The following is a 25,915-nucleotide window of genomic DNA, read 5'->3' on the forward strand; positions in this document are numbered from 1 at the left end:
TTCTACCAGTTCTTTGGTCCCATTTCTAAGCCTCAGGACTGTTGAGCAGCCGTAAGCCAGTGCTGATGGGCTCAGGCCCCACTTAGAAAGCATAGATGCTTTTAAATGATATTAAATGGAAGCATTAAATAGCATTTATTCAGACACATCCAGTTGATATTTGTAGACCAAATCTACCATCAGACTTGGCTATGTGAGTAAATGATATTGGCATATAGTAGGCCTTGCAGAAGGTCTATTCCTTATTTTAATTCAATTAGGTACACCTTGGCTCAGTTACACAGTTTGGCCTGAGCCTTAAACTTTATAGGCAAAGTTCGGAGAATTAAATTGGAAATATTTGGAGAAAGACCCACTAGATACAGATATAATAGCTTGGGTAATTCCCCACCTCATGTTTCTGCCTTATGTAAGTACCAGTTCTTCATAGCTAAGCAATGGATGTTTGGTTCTAGATATTAAATAATGGACAATGTATTTTCATTGGAATATGTATGGATGTGACTACATATGCAATATATTTAACATAGTTTGAGTTCCAATTTTTCTGCTATATCAGTGGAGTACTTAAACCACACCATACTGTAAATCTGGGAATTTTTTTTGGATGATGTCTACTATATACCATATATATATTTTTTGTTTGTTTGTTTGTTTTGTTTTGTTTTTGATATGGAGTCTCGCTCTGTAGCCCAGGCTGGAGAGCAGTGGCGTGATCTTGGCTCACTGCAAGCTCCGCCTCCTGGGTTCACACCATTCTCCTCCCTCAGCCTCCCGAGTAGCTGGAGGCGCCCGCCACCACGCTTGGCTAATTTTTTTGTATTTTTAGTAGAGATGGGGTTTCACTGTGTTAGCCAGGATGGTCTCATTCTCTTGACCTCGTGATCCACCTGCCTCCACCTCCCAAAGTGCTGGAATTACAGGCGTGAGCCACCGCGCCCAGCCTATACCATATTTTTAAAAGTCAGCAGGCATAAATTTCTACAGAAGTTTGACATTATTTATGTTATGTTCATCTCTTTTTTTGCCACATATAACAGAATTTTAACATTATCAATGTTTTTTTCCTAATGAAAAGTCACCCAGGCTCAAGTGCAGTAGTGTGATCATAGTTCACTGTATCTTCAAACTCCTGGGCTCAAGTGATCGTCCCACTTCAACCTCCTGAGTAGCTGGTACTACAGGCCTATATCACCGCACCCGGCTGATTTTTAAAATGTTGTGAAGAGATAGGTCTTGCTGTATTGCCCAGGCTAGTCTTGAACTCCTACGCTCAGTCTTGCCTTAGCCTCCCAAAGTGCTGGAATTATAGGCATGAGCCACCATGCCCAGCCTGCTAATGAAAATCTTCTAAATCTTGAGTTTATCACTTAAAATTGGGTATCATGTGTATCTCAAATTAGACACTTGTCTGTTTTAGCTTCAGTTTCCCCTACAGATCAATAGTTTACTACCAGTAATACGATAGGTCTCTTTGGTAGGGAGCAAGTAAAATTAATGAAAAATTCAAAGTATAACTTAAAAATGATATTAGGAATAATTTACTGATATGCATGTGGGAAATGCAAGTTCACTTCAGTTGTTGTTTTAACAGAGGGCACACAGAATTTAGAAGTCATTAGCATCCCTAGAATTTATTTTTAGAGAAATATGGCTCTGCTTCAATATTTGACACATAATGTTGTATAGCTTTTTCTCTGCTTCATCTCTGTTTATTACATTTAATATTTATATGGGCTCATTCTGATGTCTGTTCTGTGGCAGTGCCTGAATTGTCTTAGGACATGATTAATTGAAAAATAAGGTTTATAGAGTATGTTTATAAAATTTGTCTCTTAGATGCCACGTACTTCTTTAACTCTGGAGATGATTGAACAGAATTGTTACTAATACCTTTTAGCACTAGAGTCAGATTATAGAGGATTGGAGGATTTCAAATCAAATCTAGTTTTGCTTTTTTCTCATATTAAAAAAATTCTTCGTGTTTACCTTGTTTTCAGCTAGTAAGATTGAAGACTTTGTGGCACCATGTGGCATTCAACAAAATGAATCAGTTGAATGACTTACATAGTGTTATGGTATGTTATAAAACATAATTCTTTCCTATCTTCTGGGAGTCTCCTGAAGAAACCCTTTGAGAACTAATGGCCAGGTCATTTCACGGTGGCCTATATATAAGTCTGTAATATTTCTGGATTTTTAGTCTCTTGACCAGATTTTCCTGAGATTTGAAAATCAGAATTCAGGTCAAAAAGGATATAATTATGACAAATTGAGTAGGTTTTATATGGCATATTTGTTAAGCCTGCTAAAATTTAATGGTGATTGGAAAACACCAATTATTCGAGTTTGAATATAGTAATTTGGGTTGCCTCTGTTAATACAGAGAATATTTCATTCAGTATACACTCCCACTCACATCATCTCTTTTTCTTTCCACTCTCATCTCACTTTAATACGAAACTATAGCTGTGAACTTTTGGGAGGGGAGAGTGAAGTCATAGGTGAAGACAGCTGGATCATGGATTTGTACTTTGTGACTTTATATTTTCATTCCTTTGCTACTGAGGAAAGATGAAGCAGGCACATTTCAAAAGAACAGCTGACACTATCCATACAAAGACAGTAATTACGTCAGTCACTATAATTCTTTGGAGTTTGTGGATCTTCTTTTACATGTATATGGCAGAGGTCTAGCTTGTAGGACTAGGCCAGAGGCAGATGAGTATAGATTTTATACATGCCAATTGTACATGCTAAACCAGGTTCTAACCTTGTCTCTCCAGTTCCCTTTCTCCTTGAGTTCTGTTAGCCAGTGAATCCTAGTTTGATTGAATTAGGATAACTTTAAACTAACACAAGTGGGTCAAATTGTGAATAGTGAACCTTACTGTATTCAAACTTAACAATGATGTTATTTATTTAGTACAGGCCTGTAAACTACAGTGTCTGAGTTTTACGGTGCATTTTAGGATTATGGGACAAGGAAGTAGTTGGAGAAATCTCCTTTTGGCAACATGTTACTGCCTGGAAAGGAAAATCTCGAGGTTTTTTTTTTTAAGTTTCTATATTTTTCTTTGGCTAACGTATGTTTCCTTTTTACATAAAAGGAAACCTAAACCTGGAAGAAAGGTATTTACTGGCTCTACAGGTAGGGAATATCAGATGGTCTTTTGAATTTTTAGACACTTGAAGTTTTTGTTTCATTTTTGCTTGTTTGGTTTTTGCAGCCAATGGAAAAACCTTTTAAGTAATAAGGACTAAGTTAAACTTCTAAATTCTTTATAATAAATCAATATGCTGATGTTCTGGATGAGATGGGAGACTGCCCTGAGTAGGTACAATATAACGACGTAAGCCTGGACATTCCAGATTACAGTCACTTCTGGACAATTTGGTTAGTTCAGGTGTCTTGCCTAATTAGGTGAAATTAAGAGAAGTTGTATACTATATGACAACGAAAACCTCTTCATTTTAGAGGTATTTGTAGGCATATAGAAATGGCGTGAACCATTCCTTTTCCTATCATTTCAGAACGGGCTCACTATTCAGTTGAGAGATTGTAGTCTTCAAGTAGTTTTAGTTATTTAAATCTGTGTTTGTCAAACTGCAAGCTGAGCTCTAGTAACATTTTGGTTTTGAGGTAATTAGTCATGAAATCATATAAGGAGATTATGGCCAACATTTTTTTTTCTTTAATGAAGTAGAATAAAAGTGCAATTCTGCCACTGGTTCTGTGGACCAGCAGCATTGCTGTTATCTAGGAGCTTATCGGAAATACAGAATCTCAGATCCCAGCCAGACCCACAGTGTTAGAATATGCATTTATCTGCATTGTAACATAATCTCAACATTAATGTTTATAAAACATTGAAATAAAAATAGTAACATTTATTACAGATAACACATTCATTAAATTATTGTTTCTGTCTTGTTTGTGTGTACTCGTGCACATACCAGCTTACACCTTAAAATGTATTTCTATGGGTTCACAGTCAAAAAAGTTTAAAATCTACTATTTTAAATGTGGATGCTGACATCGTACCGCTGGGTATGTTCTTATCTAACTGAGAGAGAGCTATCCTTGCTTGGCATTGGCATTGGCATCATCTCTAAAGTTTTGTTTTATTTTTTATCTATCCTATTTTTCCTTCTACCTCACTTTCTTCTAGTTATCTCTTGCGTGTCTCTGTTCCTTTCTTTGTATATAATGCGCTTCAAGCCTCAAAATTGTACTCACTATCGTGAAAACATTTTTCTCAAGTTTTGCTTTGTGGTCAAATATACTCAGTTTACTGGGAAAAAAATTAAGGCTAATCAGCAGGATTTTTATTTTTTAATTCTAGAACCAATTTTGAAGAAGGAAATACCCACATTTTACCAATGTGCTTTTCTCCTCCATTTGTTATGATTTCCAAATGTCAGATGTTACAGTACCATTTGGTTTGGATATCATTAAATCACTCAGTTTTCTTTATGTGCAGATGTGCATGGCATATCTTAAATGCTAGGAACAGAATTTTGAGAAGAAATATGTATAACATTGAAGTCCCAGTTTCCCAGTTGTATTTAAAACAAGTGATTGTAGCTTTAGTTTGCTGCGTACTAACCTAATCTAGTGCAGACCAGGTAAAGGAAGCTAACCTCTTAGACCACTATTAAGAGATATCCTAATTTCCTGGATTATGGCCAAAAATAGAGAAAAATTATACTAGTTGTACTTAGTGTTTTTTCCTTTGACCAACAATATACAATTCAACTTACGACAAATAAGCAGCTTGAAAAATATGTGCCTCTTTCTGTGGTTCTGAGACTGGAACCAGTGAAAAGCAGACAATTCATATCAAATTTTTTATCCAGTCATCGTTAGCTAATTTTAACCATTTTGTGTCACATAGCTACACATTTGTTGCTATTGATCTCACTCTTCTCCATCTGGTTATTCCATTTAACTTATACCTTGTTTTAAAGGGCTTCAGCAGTGAATTTTATTTTATTTTAACTTAGAAATACTACAGGGGTGCTCCAGAAAAGGGGGAGAAATAGAAAATTTTGAATCTCTAACTCTGAAAATTAAGGGCCTTGTTACTACACATCATTCTGTTTATTGGTTATATCAGACAGTATGTACAGCAGAATTGTAAATGATTACTAATTTTTTAGTTATTTTTATCCATACTCTATAACAGTATGATATACTTGTATTTGCTAATGTTAAATGAGTTTTTCTCTAATTTTTTGTGCATTTTTCCCCCTTTTCCATGAAGGCCTTATCTCTTTGGAGCGGGGTGTTTTTCCATAAAAGCCCCATGGTGAGTTCCAGTTCAGTCCCGCATGCCTCATTCATTTGCTGTACTCTCAAAAAGTAATTTGTTTTGTAGTTTTGTTTCCAGTTGCATGGCCTGATCACAGATAGATGCACCAAGTTACTGAATAATTTGTAGATGGAACATGAATGTTGATATTTAAGCTTTAGAAAAGTGGTTTTCTTGGTTTCACTTCATTCTTTAAAAAGTAAAAAACAAAAAAAAAAAAACCACAGATGAATTTTTTTTAAATAGAAGAATTCTCTCATAATGCTCGTAAATATTACAAGACAAGGCTAACACCCAAGTTTAAAGCTTTGAGTATTATGGCATTAGAAGTTACCTACATATCATGCATAGCATTTGAGGACATGATTTATTTTGAAATATAAATATATTTAAGGTATACCAAAAGCACCTTATAAAGTTTTTGTTGCATTTTATTTGGTCCTAAAGAGACAAAAGTTCTGTTTTTGAATAGTTTAGGTATTTAAGGAGCTACATAATGACAAAATATATATTTTACATAAAACCTCCTAAATAATTTATTATTTTGAATTATTAGCACATACTCATCATAGCTTAATTATTTGGTAAATTCTTTCATGTCAGTGCACAGAATACAGCTTTGTCAGTCTTAGACAGGAAGGTCATAGAAAAGAATTCGAATATATTTAATACTTTCATGTAAAGATAGGAAGTAGAATGTGTTAAGAATGGTATAAAATGTTTAATGGTTAAGAGTCAGACTGCCTGGGTCTTAGATCCCAATTGACACACTTACTAGCTATATGATTTGGGGGGAGTTTTCTAAAACCTTTCTATTTCTTATTTCCTTATGTATTAAATGTACCTATGTAATGGACTCACTATGAGTATTAAATAAGCTGATACATATCTCAGTATGTGTTAGTATATAACAGTGCCTGGCACATAGTAAATGTGCAGTAAATGTTAGCTGCTACCACTGTTTCTTTTCCTGTTTCAGGGAAAAATACCGTGTTTCAAAAGAAGCTTATTTAAATTAGATTATGTTTTTCACTTTTAAGGATATGTTAACCAGTGCGAAGTTTTGAGAAATGTAAGCTATATTAATTTTATTAATTTAGTCAGAATACTGAAAAGAGTTCTGCACATATGTGTAGTTCTCATAACTGCTAAATGGGGATTGTTCATACTGTTCTATTACACTAGAAAAAAACATTCCAACGTTTTTTCCTCTTGGACAGAAAGAAGCTTAAATAGTTCTTTAAGGTTAATTATTATTTGACACAAACTTATTTCAATGTTTATATGCCATAGGAAGATCTGAAAATTTTGTTATTGCTTAATAATAGGTGACATAAAACAAATCAACATAAAATTTTCCTCCTTGAAAATTATAATTAGACACAGTTTGCAAAACTATTCTAAACAAATTCAGGATATACAAGAATATAAATCTCATGAAAGTTGATCTTTATTCATTTTGTTAACCAGATGTCTTCTAAAAACAAATAAGATACACAGATCTTACTTATGAGCCTTCCAGTGATCAGTGAATTTTAAATGCCACATTCAACATATGACAAAATTTCTTTGTAAACTTAGAATTAAATTCCATTTTAGGATAAATTCTTCTTCTAAGTACAAAGCAAAGAGTTGTAGTATGTTAATAAAGATTGAAGTTTTGCATAGAAGTAAAAGATGGAATAACAACTGTTGTATGTTAAGTAAGTAAAGTTCATTCCTTCAACAGCTTACGTGCTCCTCACATTTAAGCAAAAGCACTTGTCAACCAGAAATGATTTGAGGTTGAAACAAGATTAAAAGAGCCAGATTAAAGAAAGGGATATATTAAATATAGTAGACTTTTAAATCATTGCCTGTCTTTTAGAAGACTGCTTTGTGGTTTGTTTGATGCCATCGTTAGCTCACAAGAAACTCGTTTTTAGTCACTTATACTAGACTAAAAGGTTCTCCTTTAAAATGTTACTTTCCCAGTGGTGCATGTTTTTTCCATTAAGATCTTAATGAAACCTCAAATTAAGGCAGCAAATGAATATAAATTTGACAACTTCTTCCATTTTGTTTATAAGAGCTCCTTTGTTTTAATAGTTTTTGCTATTTTTCCATGTTATTTAGCATTCAACCTGAGAATGTTTTTATGTACTGTTCTGAAATAAAACATTATATGCTAAATAAATATGTTTTTAGTATATCCAGTTATAGGGTAATATATGTATTTTGGATGAAAAATGAAATTTTTAAATGAAATGTAAATTTTCTACAAACTTTTTATTAGTTTCGAGTTGCAACGTTAACACTTAGCTAAGAATTTGCTTTTGGTATATCACAATTTCTGCTAGTTCTTTATTCTCCATTAAACAGGTTTAGTCCTTTACATTCATATACTTTCAGATGAGTCGTTATAAAATACAGTCGTTCCCTTTGGTAACAAAATAAGCTTGTTGGAAAGTAAACTATGCATCTTCAACATTTTAGTCACTTTGGACTTCCCTGGTATTATGTGTCATCTAGGTTAGTTTAGGATATTTGAGTTTGGATGACTATATAAAATAATACAAAAGAATTACACATATAACATACTTTTTTAAACATAGGAATTTAAGATAAATAATCCCAGTGTGAATTTTTGAATCTGAATTTTGCTTTCAATATTACAAATAAATAGGAATGTATCAAGCTCTGAATTTGCATGTAGTGTTGTATTTAAGCTACTGTTATTTTTGAATTGCTTATCAAAAAACATACATGACAGGTAGACAATGGGTAGTCCATATAAGTATATTTCTTCCTCATAAAATGTTTTCATATTATATAAGGGTAAATTTTAAAGAATTAAAATTTGCATATTAAATTAGAAAGTTTTAATTAGTGTTTTCTAAGAGTTTTGATCAAGCTATAAACAGTTCATGTAAACTAATCTTGTTCTCTTAAATATTTTAAAATTTTATGATTTCATTTTTTGAAAGATACGATTTATATGGAGAGGAGAATTTATTCTTACCTGCCACATTTACACAAATCTGTTAGACCTTTAAGAAAAATTTATGACAGAATAGAATAATTTCAGACAGATTATTAATATCTTTAGTTATTTGAAATAAAATGCTTCCAGTTCTCCCATTTAGGTCTTATGTTAGAAACTAAGATTGAGAATGAGAAAAAACTTCTAAAAGAATATAAAGAATATTTTTTCTTTTATAGAAAGCTGTTATACCACTTGTAATACTTAGATCAATATTGGGTCTTACATTTAAACTCAAATATTGACTATTCTTTTATGTTTTAAAAATGAAAAGAAACGGTGCTTCTGTCTCATGTTAGCGCCTTCCATGCTTGTGTCCTTCCACAGAAGGCACTGGAGCACATTGCTGCTTATCATGCTGTCCACAGATACTTCACATCTGTCCTATTCAGATGGAGATCATTGTCCTGTAATTTTTAAGCAGATATCATTAGAATTTTGTACTCTTTTTTTTCTCTCTTTGCAGTTGGGTGTGGAGAAAAAAATAGGCCAGAGAAATTCAATATATTGACCTGGCTGGATTACATAATAAAGGCCAAGGGAAGAAAAATGGGGAACTTTAGTAGCCTTTGCAAATATTTTTGAAGTCCTAGTAATGTTAATATCCCTATAACTTCCTCTGATTGCAGTGAAAATGATTCTCGTTCTATGGTTAGACAGTTAAGCGTTTCCTCAGAAGAAATGACAAAGAGTTAAACTCCTGATTTTTAATTTAGCATCTTATTTGTTAATTTGGTTATTCGGTTTTTTTGTTTGCTTGCGTGTTTGTTTTTCTTTTGATTACATTGATTCGTATCAGGCTTAGTAAATATGATGTTTTATGATTGTCATTTTTATGATGCTGAAAGTTGAATTTATTCCATTTTTTCTTTTATTTTTTGCTCAAAAGTTAAGTCAAATTTTTAAAAAATTATTGAACATGGGGTTATGTGTGAAAAACTAAGGGTAGTAAAGGAACAGGAATTGTCAGTAGAAAGGAGTCCATCGAGAGTATGTCTTGTTCTCATGTATAACCATTTTAAAAAAAAATGGATGAGTCCACATAATCAATACAGTTAAACTTTTGGGCATCAATACAAATTTAAATATTTTTCTATCATTGTATTATTAACTTAATAAATGATTAAATAAATGAGGGAAGGCATCCAAACACCCAGAGAAATTCTTTCTAAACTTGCAAATGTTCTTTAATGAGATTTTTTAAAGACCCCTTTTGGAGGAGAAAGGGAGATGTTGAGAACAAGAGAGAAAAAAAAGGTTAGCATTGGAGTGCTTTCCTATGAGGGTTGGGTCAGCAATCTGTAAATTTACATAATATACAAAGCTAGCACTTTTCTAATACATTCACGTATGTATCATTTTTCAATGTTTTATCTTTCTGTCAACAAAAGGTTATTTTGTGATAGAAATATTCTAGGTCATTGTGGAAAAGTTCATACATTGTATGTCACTGGCATATTGCTAGAAAAGCCCTTCTACTTCTGCCAAGCTTTCTTGGACTTTTAAAAACTTAGGATGAAGGGCAGATTGAACCCAAGTTAAAATTTCTAACTTTGAGTGTATCCCATAGAAGATATTTTATTCATAACGTTCTTTTTATTAGATTATTTCTCCTTTTTATTCCTCTGCAAATCTTAAAGACACACACATATTTTTATGTTTTTATTTTGCTGAAATACCACAATCATTCCAGATTATAGATTGATGATAGAAATAACTTGATATGAATGTGTTTACCCAATATGCTTCATACCCAACACACAACACTATGTTATGTAGCAGATAGCAAGTTATTTTCAGGGTGAAAACTCTTTTGACTCCTTAATAAACACAGACTTTTACTAATGAAATTTAAGGCCCTATCAGAGGAAAAAAGAAATGATGAAATATAAAAATAAAAATGGTAATTCTTTACTGAAATTAAGCATAGTTTTACCATAAAATACTTATTTTCTGTAGGAGATACTGAGCTTATGTAAAAATAACACCGTGTTGATGCTTTTTACTTGTGTGTTCCAAAACAGAATTGTATGTAACTTATAGATGTATAAGAGATTTTAGCTTTTGACATGAGCTGATTAGACTCTAAACTAGTAAACATACAAAAAATATTTTTTGTATGTCAAAAAACTAAATTGACGTCCTCTCATTTTTCTACTTTTTATTATCATGTTAGAAAGTTTGCCATCTGGCCTGGAAGCAACTATTTTTAAGTCTGTTTAGGATGCATACTTCAGAGGGACCATATTTTCTCTTAAGAAGAGGCATGCTCACTTGTTACTTACCACATGATTTAAAAACAACAACAATGACATCCAGTAATTTGCAAAGAGCTTTGAGTTTGTCCCAATGAAGCTTGTTGGTACATTGTAGTAGCTTTGTTCTCTGATGGTGATTCTAGTAAAAGCACATAGTCGCACAATTGCAAACTGCTTTCAAAAAATTCTACAATACTTTTCTCTTTCCCGTTCCCCCAGCCACCATCTTCCCAAAACTCCTAAGGATTAAAAATGACCAGTGGTACCTCAAAGATACCAGCTAGAGGAATTTGTCAGTTCAATGATAGCAGTTTAGTGATGGAAATAAAAGCTTTGAAAGAAGCCTTATATTCTCAGGTAATGCAACAGAGAGCATCATAACCAGAAAGAACAATTCTGATGCCAGTGACCCAGATATCATGGGAAGGTGCATATTTGTTCAGGTATAGGGCAGAGAAGAGTCTTCCTTTCTGGAGGTATGTTACTACAGTTGTGACAGATGCAAGTATGAAGAGGTGAAACAGTTTATAGAGCCAGATTCAGCTTCCCACAGAAACTTTTTATTTAAAAACGATGTCTTTATTCCCTGTCACTGGAAGTCTCACTGTGACTGGTTGACATTTTAGGCATGGATGTTTTTTGTTGCAGGAATAATGAGAAGTGTTTTAAGAAATGTAAATGGCAGAAGAGGTTTCTTTCATATATAGTAATATGCATTACCATGGATTTTGTTCAAAGTGGGGAGACCAAAGGGACCAATCATAGTTGCCTCTGATCCAGACTTAGCCATCCTTAGAGGAAGATGTTTAAACAAGCCTCAGGAAATAAGATGTCTGAGAGACTATTTAAAATGTCATAGGAACTGGGAAACTGAGATTACCAAAGCAAAGTCTGAATTTTTTGAAGATTAGGTTGGGGCTGAGGGCCATATAGAAAAGTTAGTATTTGCTGAGTACTGTGATATGGGAAAGTACTGCCCTGGGAACTTTACCTGCTTTGTCTAATATAGTGGTTCTCAGAGTTGAGCATGCATCAGAATCATCTGGAGGGTTTGTTTCAAAACACGGATTGTTGGGCTCCATTCCCAGAATTTCTGATTTAGTAGGTCTGGGATGGGGCCTATGAGTATTTGCTTGCACTCCTAAGAAGTCCTCAGGTGGTACTATGAGCTGGGGACAGTGCTTTGAGATAATATAATCATTAAAATAATCCTATGAAGTAGGCATTACTATTTCTATTTTACATATTAGTAGTCTGAGCTCTGAGAGGTTACATAACTTAACCAAAAGTCACACAGCTCAGAGGTGCCAGCACTGGGATTCAACTACATGTTTCTTCCTGACTCCAAAACTATCTCTTTCCATCCCACCATACTTTAGTAAAGGATGAAAACAAAAATTGAGCAAAATAAGGTAGAACTAATGTTTGACATTGGAGGCTAACTAGCAGAGAGGAACATCAGAGCTCTAGTTTTTATTGTTTCCTACCTTGGCTGTGATCTTTACCAGTGCACGATGAGGCTACTGGTTTATGAATTAGAGAAAATAATTTATCAAAGGTGATTGGCAAAATTGCTTTGGGAAGCCCTTGATAAACCAAAAGAGAACAGAAATACGGGATTGAAAAGGTGTGAGGTCGATATTAGAAGCTGAGCATGAAAACTTATTTGTGGAAAACAGAGGAGATCTACTTCTTTTGAATGGCAGTGACAGGAAGTAATGGCAGTTACTAAATGTGTCCTCAGACATATGAGCAACAGAAAAGATTTAGGTTTGAGAGGCTATTGATATGTAATTCCACCTTGGTCTTTTTCTCTGAACAAAAATAGACACATCATTTTCACAAATCCGAGAAGAAAAAGAGACAACAGGAAGATCAGTGAATATAATTGCATTAGATGATTAGCTATTCTTCCCTTGCACTGTCTAACTCTCCATAGCATTGTGGCCGAGAGAGCATTTTCAAGGCTTCATTCTATATCACCTCATTTTCATCCATGCTGTCTAAATTCATTTATACTGTTAATCCCACATCTTATAGATTGGTGCAAAGGCAGTGGCAAAAACCACAATTACTTTTGCATCAACCTAATATATATAGAAATGAAGTGATAAACCATTTTATTATTGTGAGATGTTCATGCTGGTACTATTGCTTCACTTTGAAATTTCTAGGGAAATGTTACTCATCTGAAAAGAGGTGACTTGGATTTTGCCAGCACATACTTCAAAAAGGAGTTGATTTTTATTGGTCTTATAAATGTTGCTCTCTTTACAAAACTCTGGAACTTTGAAATAATTCTACTTTTACTCCAGAACATAGTCTCACATCACCATTTATTACTTAAGGCAAAATGCATGTTCATACTGGAGGATTTGAATAGGGGTGGAATTTAAAGGAAAAACTGTCATTACCTAAAGGAGTATCATTTCATCATGATAATTGTTTTTTACTCTTATTTTATTTTTTAAGCAAAGTTAAACCTCCTCCACAAATTTCACCCAGCAAATCGATGGGCGGAGAATTTTGTGTGGCTGCTATCTTCGGAACATCCAGGTCATGGTTTGCAAATAATGCAGGTCTGAAAAGAGAAAAAGGTATGTATTTTTACTGAAAAATGAATGCTCTATTTGTAATTTTTGCTTCTTAAGGAAAATTTTTAGCAGTTTCCCTAGAATAATCTTGTACCCAGTAGTCTGGAAACCAATTTTTTTAATGTAATTAGCATGTCACTTCTCAACTACTCAAGCCTAGTCAAGAAGAAAAACTATCCTCTCAGTATGAACGTTAATGAATTGCCCACTGAGTGATTTTGTTTTGTTTTGTTGGTGACAATCTACAGGTGATCTCAATGCTGTCAATTCTATACCCATTTTATACCTTTTACATTTTTACAAGCTAGTTTCACCCCTGGTCTGTGAAGTACAGAGAGGAAAAGCGTCATTGTCCCTGTTTTAGAGATGAAGAACTTGAGACCAGCAAGTTTAAATATCTTAGCTAAAAGTACTGGTTAGTTAGGCAATGGAATCAGAGTTTGAAACCAGATTTTCTAATGCTAAAAATCTTCACATTAAAAAAATCAACTCTGCCATGTTTTAAAACACAATTAAGGCCAGTCGCAGTGGCTCACGCCTGTAATCCCAGCACTTTAGGAGGCAGAGGTGGGCGATCACGAGGTCGGGAGATCGAGACCATCCTGGCCAACATGGTGAAACCCCATCTCTACTAAAAATACAAAAATTAGCTGGGCGTGGTGGTGCACGCTTGTAATCCCAGCTACTTGGGAGGCTGAGGCAGGAGAATCGCTTGAACTCGGGAGGCAGAGGTTGCAGTGAGCCGAGATCACGTCACTGCACTCCAGCCTGGGTGACAGAGCAAGACTCCATCTCAAAAAAAAAAAAAAAAAAAAGAGGAAACAGCCTGCCAGTGAGAAATAAGGCTCAGCTTTTGTGGTTACCATTGCTCCTTTGAATTAATATACAGTAGTCTCTCCTTATCTGTGGAGGATACATCCAAGACCTCCAGTGGATGGCCGAAACCTCGGATGGTACGGAGCCCTATATGGTACAATGCATTTCAGTCTAATAACTGAGATAGGTACTATGGGACTAATGGGTTGGTAGCGTATACAGCGTGGATATGCTGGACAAAGGATGATTCATGTCCCAGGCAGGACAGATGGGACAACGAGAGATTTTACCACGCTATTCAGTCTGCCATTTGAAGCTTATGAATTGTTTATTTCTGGAATTTTCCGTTTAATATTTTTGGACTGCAGTTGACCATGGGTAACTGAACTCGCACCTAAGGAGGGACTACTGTAGTTATTATCTTTCTAATCCCTGCTTTGATCACCAGGGTCAATACCTAAAATGTTTATAGGATTAGTGCTTTATAGCATGTGAATCCTTATTGCTTCTGTTTAGAAGAGAATGCCTACGTTCATAAACCAAGTATATAATTTTGAATGTTATGATTTTCCCCTTAATATTTTAGTATTATTAAAGTAGGTCACAAACCGGGTTGTTACTGGGGCACTTCTCTGGTGAGTTCCACAGGCTGTATTGTTCTTGGCAAAATGGCTCTCCTTTATGCTAACACTGGCAGTCAGACATGAGCCCTTTCTCTTGTTATCGCCTTTCAGTGACCCTTTACTTGGTAATGGGATCTCACGCGCAGCAGGTTCCTTACCTAAGTGGGAGAGGATACTGTTAAGTATGCAAGCCTTCCATTTCCTTATCCCATCTTTATTTTTTTTGTTACCTCCTTAGGTTTAATGATGCTATCGAAAGGACTTTTTGTTACTAGTTAAAACCCTCTGAGAAGCTCGATTTCAAATGCTTCTCCCTTCTGTTCTAATTACCTTTTTAACTTTCTACTCCTTTATGTCCCTCTGGCTGATCATTAGCTATTTTCTCAAATCAGCTGTAATTGATTCGCCTGACACAGAGATAAGATGACCTACCCAGCATTCATGAGTGATTTTATATGCTCCTAGGTTTACTGTAAAACCGGAGAGAGAGGACTAAACCTGTTTTGCTAGTGGGTACATGTGTATTCCTTATAAAGTCAGTTGATTAGATCCATATTCAGCACCTAACTTCTCAAAGTATGGCTGATCTTCATTTACCATGGCGCCAGTGATCCCATGGAGAGAAAGAAGAGGATTTGGGGGAAGGGGATGCACATGCATGCCTGTGTATGTGTGTTGAATAGACTTTATTTTCTAAAGGAGCTTTAGGTTCACAGCCAAATGAGCAGAAGGTCCAGAGATTTTTCCATATATACCTTCTGTCTCCACACATGCAAAGCCTCTTATTATCAGTATCCCCAACCAGAGTGGTACGTGTGTTTGGATTGATGAACCTACATTGACACATCAAATGTTTTTTGTTTGTTTTGATCCACAAATTTAAGTTCTAAATTTAAGTCTTCTGAGAAAAAAAATAGATGAGACATTAGGCTGATTTAGGCATACAACTAACCTTTCATGCAAGTCATTTGGTACATGCAGGGTAACTAAATCCTAGTCCATACATTATTCCTTTTCAGTTAGTCCATTTCCTGATATCATTCATTTTTCATAATGTGGGACAAATTACATTGTAGACAAGTACAAAAGTCTATGAAGGATTTTACTATATTAGGATTTGGGGCATAGTAGTATCATTCTTGAAGTAAGTTGCTTAAGATTGAAAATACTCTGATATCATAGACATTTTCATATTCACTAGCATGTGCTTATACGAGGCAACCTTTAGGCAAGGAACAAGCACCATATGAAAAAATTCCTGTCGTCTGAGCATGGTGGCTCACGCCTTTAATCCCAGCACTTTGAGAGGCTAAGGTGCACAGATCACCTGAGGTCAGGAGTTCGAGACCAGCCTGACCAACACGGCGAAACCCTATCTCTACTAAAAATACAAAAATTAGCCGGGTGTGGTGACAGGAGCCTGTAATCCCAGCTACTCAAGAGGCTGAGGCGGGAGAACCATTTGAACCAGGGAGGCGGCAGCCTGGGCAGCAAGAGCAAAACTCCATCTCCAAAAAAAAGAAAAAAAGAAAAAAATTCCTGTCTTTTCATTTTCTCTGAGCAGCCTCAGGAGCAGACTAATAAGATCATTAACTTGTAAAAATTATTCTGTGCTCCATTTATGCCATCATAACACATCGGGTTCTGTTTCTCTGTTTGTAGATCAGTCCAAACAAGTTGTAGTTGAGTCCCTGTACATTATCAGTTGCTATGGCACCTTAGTGGAACACATGATGGAGCCGCGACCCCTCAGCACTGCACCCAAGATTAGTGACGACACACCACTGGAAATGATGACATCGCCTCGAGCCAGCTGGACTCTGGTTAGGTAGTACCTCTTTTCTTTTTTTCTTTTTAACAGCTTCATTAAGGTATAGAAGATTAAAAGCGTATAATTTGATAAGTTTTGACATGCATACAGCTACGAAATCATCACCACAATTAACATGGTAAACAAATACATCACTCTCAAATGTTTCTTGGTGACCCTTTGTAATCTCTCCTTCTTTCACCCCCTTTGTCTCTACAGATTAGTTTACAGTTTCTAGAATTTTTTTTTTTTTTTTTTTGAGACGGAGTCTCACTCTGTCACCCAGGCTGGAGTGCAGTGGCGCGATCTCAGCTCAAGCGATTCTCCTGCCTCAGCCACTTGAGTAGCTGGGACTACAGGCACACGCCACCACACCTAGCTAATTTTTTTGTATTTTTATTAGAGACGGAGTTTCACCATGTTGGCCAGGATGGTCTCGATCTCCTGACCTCGTGATCTGCCCGCCTCAGCCTCCCAAAGTGCTGGAATTACAGGCGTGAGCAACCGTGCTGGCCCAGTTTCTAGAATTTTATATAAATGGAATCATATAGTATGTAATTTCTTAAATCTCACTTTCATCTAGCAAAACAAACAATACTTCATTCCTTTTTTTTGTTTTGTTTTTGTTTTTGTTTTTTTTTTTTTTTTTTTGGAGACAGTCTCGCTCTGTTGCCCAGGCTGGAGGGCAGTGGCACGATCTCAGCTCACTGCAGCCTCCACCTCCCGTGTTCAAGCGGTTCTCCTGCCTCAGCCTCCTGAGTAGCTGGGACCACAGGCGCCTGCCATCCCATCTGGCTAATTTTTAGTAGAGATAGGGTTTCACCATGTTGTCAAGGTTGGTCTCATACTCTTGACCTCAGGTGATCCACTCGCCTTGGCCTCCCAAAGTGCTGGTTTTATAGGGATGAGCACCTGGCCTTTCATTACTTTTTCATTTGACATAATTTACATACAATAAAATTAACCCATTAAAAGTGACTTTTCACAAAGTTGTGCACTTATCACTGCAATCAGTTCTCATCACCCTAAAAAGAAACCTCATACTCATTAGCAGTCACTCCTTATTTTTCTCCAACCCTTCAGACCTAGGCAGCAGCCAGTTTACTTTCTTTCTCTATGGATTTTGCTACTCTGATCATTTCATGTAAGTGGAATCATATAATATGTGACCTTTTGTGTCTGGCTTCTTTCACTTAGCATATTTTCAAGATCTATCCATGTTGTAGCGTGTGTCAGAATTTCACTCCTTTTTATGGCTACATAATACTCCATTATATGGTTATACTGCATTTTGTTTATCCATTTATTAGTTGATGGATATTTCTACTTTTTAAGCTGTTATTAAATAATGTTGCTGTGAACATTCATGTACAGATTCTTGTGTGAACATTTTTTTTTTTTCCTGAGATGGAGTCTTGCTCTGTCACCTAGGCTGGAGTGCAGTGGCGTGATCTCGGCTCACTGCAAGCTCCACCTCCCAGGTTCACACCATTCTCCTACCTCAGCCTCCTGAGTAGCTGGGACTACAGGCACTAGCCACCACGCCAGCTAATTTTTTGTATTTTTACTAGAGACAGGGTTTCACTGTGTTAGTCAGGATGGTCTTGATCTCCTGACCTCATGATCCACCCACCTCGGCCTCCCAAAGTGCTGGGATTACAGGCGTGAGCCACCGCGCCGGCCCATGAACATATTTTTTTAATTGTCTTCTGTATGTACCTTGGAGAATACCTCTGTTTGAACTTATTTCCCCCTTGCACTTCTGTGTTAAATTTTCTTGGATTTATGCTTCCTCTATTTGCAATCTCATGCTCACCGAAAATAGAGAGTAACATTGAGATAGCCATTAAGGGGAATAGAAACTAATATAGATAGATTCAAAGGTTTCTCTGAAAGTAATTCTCCAAGATACAGTGGTTAAGCCTTATAGGAATGTTTATTAAGAATCAGAGTCCATCTCAAACGTGCATAATGATTAGAATCTTTATAAGCTATAACCAAAAGGAAAAAAAACCTGGAATAAAACCTCTTTAATATAGTTCATTGTCCAGGAAAGAAAAAATTGCTCCTGACATGTATGGAAGGAAACAGACAAAAATGGATATGAAAATGATCCCTGTCCTTTTGACATTTTAAAATATTCTTGTATTGATTTTTGGAGGCTCCAGCATTCTTTACTACTACTTTACTATGCTGGATTGATCTGATCAATATCTGATTTATCAAGCTTATTTAGGAGTGGGCAGATCTAATTAAAGTTACTACACTATCATTGTTGAAATAGTAACTTATTTCAGAACTCAGATGCTAATTTGATCTATAATAAGTCATCCATTTACACAGCTGTGTTTTATTAACCATTTTTACCTACTTCATTTTATTTTAAAATATACACATATTTTAAGAATAGAGAGGTCAGAAATTACATAAATTAGAACTAGTTAGTTGTAACATTTGAATTTTACACCTGTTTAATCTTCTGAATGTCTTGCCTATCCTGTTGGAGGGTCTTCTGCTGTTAAGCTTATATTGACTGCATGTTATTTGTATGAAAGACTGCCACCTTTTTATTTTTTCTAAGCAGATGGCCTTGTGTTTCAGGTTTCATCACATTCATTTTAATGATTACAAGTTCATTTTAATGATCACAAAAGTAGTGTGAGTTTAAGTCACTGTTCATAAGTGATGACAGTCATGGTGATTTACATCCCATCTATTAAGCTTAAATATTAATATTCTTCTCCTGTTTCCTTAGAACCCCTCAATGGAATGAATTGCAGCCACCGTTTAATGCAAACCACCCTCTGCTCCTCGCTGCAGATGCAGTACAGTATTATCAGTTCCTGCTTGCTGGCCGTAAGTAGTTCAGATTTTTTTTTTCCTTTCGTATGGTCTATTCAGATTTCATCTTAAAATGCTAGCTTTGAAAGCAAACATTACCACTGGTCCATAGGCCATGGGCCTTAAAGAATCAGTTTGAGGCAAATAAGATATTTAATATGAATATAAACTGTAAGCCTTAGTATACATTATGTCTCTGACTGCTTATATTCTTTACCTATGAAATATATTTCTGTAATAAAAGTTAAGTTGATAGGGAATATCTGGAGGGCTCAAAAATTCAAACAAACATAAAAACCACCACCTGAAAATGCTAGGATATAATAAAAAGTTTCATAAAGCTTGGAATCTGTTTCTAACATGGAAAAAAAAAAACCCCAAAACTTAGCACAGTTAAAAGTGCAACTATGAAAACAATGCCAGCAGGCTTTTCTTTTGGTAGAATTTTACTTGCAATAATGAGGTAAAGATTTCAACTACATTTGTTAATTTGTTTGTTTACTTATATGTTTAAGCGTGAGCATTTGTAGAGACTGAACCAAGTTCATTGACCTAGATAACAGCTTTTTATATGGGAGTCATTTAAAGGCAATTTAGTATTTATTATCCAGTTTGCGTTTATAGAATTAAAAATTATTTACAATTATAATTCAGTTTTGTAGATATAGACAGAATCCTTAATTTAATTTGATGGCTCTGAGTAGTGCACGCTTTAAAGAAAATTCTTAAAAATCAACATTGACATGTTTTTAATGAAACTTTGTTGTATTTAACACATTGTCTTGCCCGGTATATTAGAAAGCATGAATTAAAATAGTTGTCGAATGATTTTATTTTATCTTTATAATGTGCTATATATTATACTGGAAACAGAAATATTTTATAGACTTTGCTCTCAAGTTATGAAACTCTATAACTGTAATCAATAGTTGGCAGTCTTGCTCTCTCATATTATTGTTGAACTCTCTGCTTTTTCTAGGGCATTTTTATTGAGTGCCTACTATGTGTGAGGCAGTTCTGATTTAAAGGTGATTAGTATATTGCTTCTCTCCTCAATGAATTCCCTAATTCAGGAGATAGACATTTAATAAAAAAGTAAAATAAAGTGGGGTAGGTGTGTCAGTGGAGGGTTATAAATTGAACTGTGAGAGCAGTGACGTGTGTTGCCTATGGCATCACAGACGGGTGATATGTAAGTGGTTTTCGGGTTGATTCAAGAAGCAGTGCATATAGAAGTTGTTAGTTTCTAGATTTTTTAAGCATATATTTAACTATCATATGAACTGGAAAAATACATGACATGAATATGATATGAAATAAGAATCATGAGTACATTTTCCATTACCTCTCAAGGAGCAAAACTAATTGTTGAATTAAGCATAGTTGACTCTTTCAGAGTTAATATTGTGTTTTGTGTTGTTATTTTGATACCTATTAAGTCTATTTAATAGACATACTATAACAAGTCTGAAATATTTATAAAACACATAGGGGAAAAGATATAGCTATATCTATCTCTTAATTGTTTTTTGTTCCAGTGATTGACCTTATTGACATTACACTCTGCTTGATTTTAGCTGCCCTAAACACCTTTGTCTAATGCTCAGAACAACAAAAATCCCCAGGTGCATAATTTAAGAACCACCACTGTTGGCAGTAGTAAGCCATTACATGTTTTCAAGCATAGGAATGACACCATCAAAATTGTATTTTAGAAAGATCATTCTGGGCTGGGCGCAGTGGCTCACGTCTGTAATCCCAGCACTTTGAGAGGCTGAAGCGGGAGGATCACTTGAGGTCAGGAGTTTGAGACCAGCCTGGCCATCATGGTGAAACCCCATCTCTACTAAAAATACGAAAAAATTAGCCGGGTGTGGTGGTGCATGCCTGTAATCCCAGCTACCTGGGAGGCTGAGGCAGGAGGGTGACTTGAACCCGGGAGGTGGAGGTTGCAGTGAGCCAAGATCACGCCCTTGCATTCCAGCCTAGGCAACAGAGCAAGACTCCATCTCACAAAAAAAAAAAAAAAAAAAAAAAAGAAAGAAAGAAAGATCACTCTGGCAGCACTGCAGCAGGAAATTCAGAGGAAGGGAGTGGAGGCTAGGTGATCCTAGAGCAAGATGAGACCTTAAATTAATGCTGTATTACAGAGAAGACAGGACAGACCTGTGAGATGTTTAATAGTTGGCATAGAAAAGAATTAGAGGCTGGGCACAGTGGCTCACGCCTGTAATCCTAGCACTTTGGGAGACCGAGGTAGGCAGATCGTCTGAGCTCAGGAGTTTGAGACCAGCCTCGGCAACATAGTGAAACCCCATCTCTACTAAAACACACAAAAAAATCACCCAGGTGTGGTGGCGTGCACCTGTACTCCCAGCTACTCAAGAGGCTGAGGCATGAGAATTGCTTGAACCTGGGAGGTGAAGGTTGGAGTGAGCTGAGATGGTGTCACTGCACTCCAGCCTGGGTGACAAAGTGAAACTCTGTCTCAAAAAAGAGAGGGACAATTTGAAACTAAGTAGTTACTAATGATTCTGTGGTTTCTCATATGGAATACAGCAGGTCCTTGAATGATGTCATTTTGTTTAACATCAATTCTTTATAAGGCTGATGAGAAAAAATAATCGCTCCCTGCCTGGGGCCATTGCCTGTGTGGAGTTGTCACGTTCTCCCCATGTCTGTGTGGGTTTTCAGTGGGTACACAGGTTTTCTCCCTGATACCAAAGGTATGCATGTTAGGTTAATTGGCATGGCTACATTGTGTCCCAGGCTGAGTAAATACGGGCCTGTGTGTGCGAGAGTGCCCTGCAATCGAATGGTGTCTTGTCTAGGATCGGGTCCTGCCTTGCACCCTGAGCTGCCAGGATATAGGCTCTGTCCACCCACAACTCTGAATGAATGAATACAAATTATTGTAAAATAAAACTTCTTAAAATATATGGTAAATCACAGAAATGCACAACAATAAATGTTGCTATATGAAAGTGCTCAGCAAGCCCAGCATATTGGTTATTATCTGTTTTTTAACTTCGTGGTTGTAGGAGGTGCTCATTAAAATTTTCACTTTGCAAACATTTATTCCTTGATTTAACTCACCAGCACTTCAAGCTCCACTACTCAGTGATTCGCTAGAAAATGAGTAAATAATCATATTACTTGTTTTCATTAATCTTTCTTAAATGTATGTATAGCTCACATTTATTTTGATGTTTAATATTAAAGCATTTGGGGTCTTTATTCAGAAGTTTACTGATGTTTTTGACCAGAAAAAAAAATATGCCTTAAGAGGTGGGGGCGCGGTGGCTCAGGCCTGTAATCCCAGCACTTTCGGAGACCAAGGCCGGCAGATCACGAGTTCAGGAGATCGAGACCATCCTGGCTAACACGGTGAAACACTGTCTCTACTAAAAATACAAAAAATTAGCTGGGCGTGGTGGCGGGCGCCTGTAGTCCCAGCAACTCGGGAGGCTGAGGCAGGAGAATGGCGTGAGCCTGGGAGGCGGAGCTCACAGTGAGCCGAGATTGCACCACTGCACTCCAGCCTGGGTGACAGAGCGTGACTCTGTCTCAAAAAAAAAAAAAAAAAAAATATATATATATATGCCATAAGAACTTAACTCTTGTTTATATCAGTCAGTGGTAAAATGGGTTTTGTAATACTTCATTTCACTTAAAGTCACAGTTTCCATGAACTTATCAATGATGTTAAATGAGGACTTATTGTATAATGCATTTCATTTTAGACCTTTTGAGTTCCAGGTGGACTAATATTGGGATAAAGATGAAAAGACCTGGGTTCTAGTTCTAAATCCAGCAATAACTTGATAAATGTAGATATCAATTATTATACTTGCTCTTATAGAGATGTTATGATGATCAGTGAAATGATGCTAAAGTCCTTTTTTTTTTTTTTGAGATGGAGTCTTGCTCTGTTGCCAGGCTGGAGTGCAGTAGCACCATCTCAGCTCACCACAACCTCTGCTCCCTGGGTTCACGCAATTCCCCTCCCAAGTGGCTGTGATTACAGGCACACGCCACCACACCTGGCTAATTTTTTGTATTTTAGTAGAGATGGGGTTTCACCAGGTTGGCCAAGACGGTCTTGATCTCCTGACCTTGTGATCCACCCCGTCTCTGCCTCCCAAAGTGCTGGAATTACAGGCATGAGCCACTGTGCCCAGCATAAAGTCCTTTTTAAAACTGTAAAATAGTTTATACATTTGAGCATTATTATTATAAGCTTTTGTTTCTTACCTCAGAAGAATATATTTTCAAATGATAGACTTCTGGGACTTTTGGTACAATTTACAAAACCTTTTTTGTATTCTGCATTTACAGTGGACTACCTGGCCTGGGCATGGTGGCTCATGCCTGTAATCCTGGTACTTTGGAAGGCCAAGGTGGGAAGATTGTTTGTGGCCAGAAGTTCAAGACCATCCTGGGCAACATAGAGAGACCCTGTCTCTACAAAAACATTATAAAAATTAGCTGAACATGGTGATATGCACCTGTAGTCCCAGTTGCTCAGCAGGCTGAGGTAGGAGGATCACTTGAGCCCAGCAATTTGAGGTTACAGTGGGCTGTGATTACACCACAGCACTCTAGCCTGGGTGACAGAGCAAGATTCTGTCTCTTAAGAAAGAAAAAAAAAAAAAGGCTAGGCGCAGTGGCTCATGCCTGTAATCCCAGCACTTTTGGAAGGCCGAGGCGGGGGGATCGCTTGAAGCCAGGAGTTTGATATCAGCCTGGCCAACATGACGAAACCCCATCTCTACTAAAAATACAAAATTTAGCCAGGTGTGGTGGCGCGCACCTGTAATTCCAGCTACTCGGAAGGCTGAGGGAGGAGAATCGCTTGAACTCAGGAGTTGGAGGTTGCAGTGAGCTGAGACTGCACTACTGCACTCCTGCCTGGGCAACAGAGTGAGTGAGACTTCATCTCTCTTTCTCTCTCTCTCTCTCTCTCTCTCTCTATATATATATATATAAATATATATAAATATATATTATATATATAATATATATAAATATATATTTATATATATAATATATATAAATATATATATTATATATATAAATATATATATAATATATATATATTATATATATATTTATATATATATAATATATATATTTATATATATATTATATATATATTTATATATATATAATATATATATTATATATATATAATATATATATATTTATATATATATATAATATATATATATATAAAGTAAAATAAAAGCAATACTGGCGCCAGTTTCAAGAGAATGCCCACCCATCTGTTGCACCCTTTCTGCAAGTTAGAGCCATTAAGCGGACTTTATTACTCTCTTGCTTTCTCCCAGATTTCCCTTACTGAAGCCATTTGTAAGGATATTATACCTTTTAAAACACAAATATATCATACCTGGTGCCAGAAAGTTTTTTGTTTTCCTTAACTATATTGGAAATCACCTATTTCCCAACTTGAAGACTTTAATAAATATTATTCTCAAAGAATTTTCAAATATAGTCATTCCTTGGTGTCATGGGAAATTGGTTCCAGAACCTCCCTCAGATACCAAAATCCACAGATGCTCAAGTCCCTGATGCTGGTACTATATTTGCATATGACCCACGCACATCCCCCTGTATGCTTCAAGTCATCTTTAGATTACTTATAATACCTAATACAATGTAAGTGCTATATAAATAGTTGTTAACACTGTATTGTTTGGGAATCATGACAAGAAAAAAGTCTAGACATGTTCGGTAGAGACGCAACCATCCTTTTTTTTTTCACAGAATATTTTCAGCCTGTGGTTGGTTGAACCCATAGATGCGGAACCAGGGATATGGAAGGCTGACTGTATAACTTTTTGGTAAACTCTAATACAAACTTCACAAATGTTGCAAGCATTTTTTTTGTGTGTGTTTGGATCTGTGGATCAAGTGAAGCAGACTTGTACAAACTCCGGAAATTATAATAATAGTAGACAAAGAATGATGTAAATGGAAATGGGAAAGAGACTTTGTCTCAGTGAGAAGAGAGTAGGAGAGCAGGATGTTTAGCAAGGAATCTCCACTCCCCTTCCAGCCCAGTAATCATAATAAATACACTGCTAGTTAATAAACAAGTTCTGTATATGTGGCAAAAAGGGTGGCTTGTGGTGGAAGGAAGGGGGAACCAGCCCTAAACACTAAACACTTCTTATGTAACCTTAATATAAAGTAAGTAAAAACTCCAGATCCTGTATTCTTAAATTATAGTAACATTTCCTACCTATATTAATTGAATGGAATGACCAAAATTAATGAATTTTTATTTTTATTGAAGAATTTTGCTGTATCACAAATTGATACCCCAAATTGAGGAATTTTGGTGTATTGTAAATTAGATCATACTAGAATGTTCCATACAGAGGTCACTGTAGAGGCACAGATGACTTCTCTGTTATTAGGTGGAACGATATGAAATTGGCATTTTTAATAAGTTTTTTAAAAGTCTGATATTTCAGCAGTTTCACAGATTAATTTATATATGCCAACTAAATATATAGATGGTAATCTAATTTTTCTGTTTAACTCAGTAAAAGTAAAAGTCAAGAATTTATAATCCAAAAGATGTTTTTGCCTTGGTCAAAGAAATTT

The 25,915-nt window shown here is 35.9% G+C and overlaps 1 protein-coding gene and 1 long non-coding RNA gene across 11 annotated transcripts in view; one reads left to right on the forward strand and one right to left on the reverse strand.

Annotated features, from left to right (window-relative positions):
- Positions 1-25,915, forward strand: part of BCAS3 (BCAS3 microtubule associated cell migration factor) — a 714,981-nt gene that overhangs the window by 343,748 nt on the left and 345,318 nt on the right. For 4 of the 8 annotated variants that reach the window (NM_001353144.2, NM_001330413.2, NM_001353146.2 and 1 more), the window contains 4 exons: positions 5,268-5,312; positions 13,068-13,192; positions 16,291-16,456; positions 19,194-19,294. In NM_001353144.2, coding sequence (NP_001340073.1) covers positions 5,268-5,312; positions 13,068-13,192; positions 16,291-16,456; positions 19,194-19,294 — 437 coding nt within the window. The remainder of the gene's footprint in view (positions 1-5,267; positions 5,313-13,067; positions 13,193-16,290; positions 16,457-19,193; positions 19,295-25,915) is intronic. The other 4 variants (NM_001353145.2, NM_001320470.3, NM_001330414.2 and 1 more) reach the window with 1 other exon arrangement.
- BCAS3-AS1 (BCAS3 antisense RNA 1) overlaps positions 12,915-25,915 on the reverse strand; it is a 101,500-nt gene continuing 88,499 nt past the window's right edge. For all 3 annotated transcript variants that reach the window (NR_186506.1, NR_186505.1, NR_186507.1), the window contains 2 exons: positions 14,615-14,786; positions 12,915-13,176 (listed from right to left, as the gene is read on the reverse strand). This is a non-coding gene — a long non-coding RNA (BCAS3 antisense RNA 1). The remainder of the gene's footprint in view (positions 13,177-14,614; positions 14,787-25,915) is intronic.

The sequence above is a fragment of the Homo sapiens genome, chromosome 17, assembly GCF_000001405.40.
Source record: "Homo sapiens chromosome 17, GRCh38.p14 Primary Assembly".
Taxonomy (NCBI): Eukaryota; Metazoa; Chordata; class Mammalia; order Primates; family Hominidae; genus Homo; species Homo sapiens.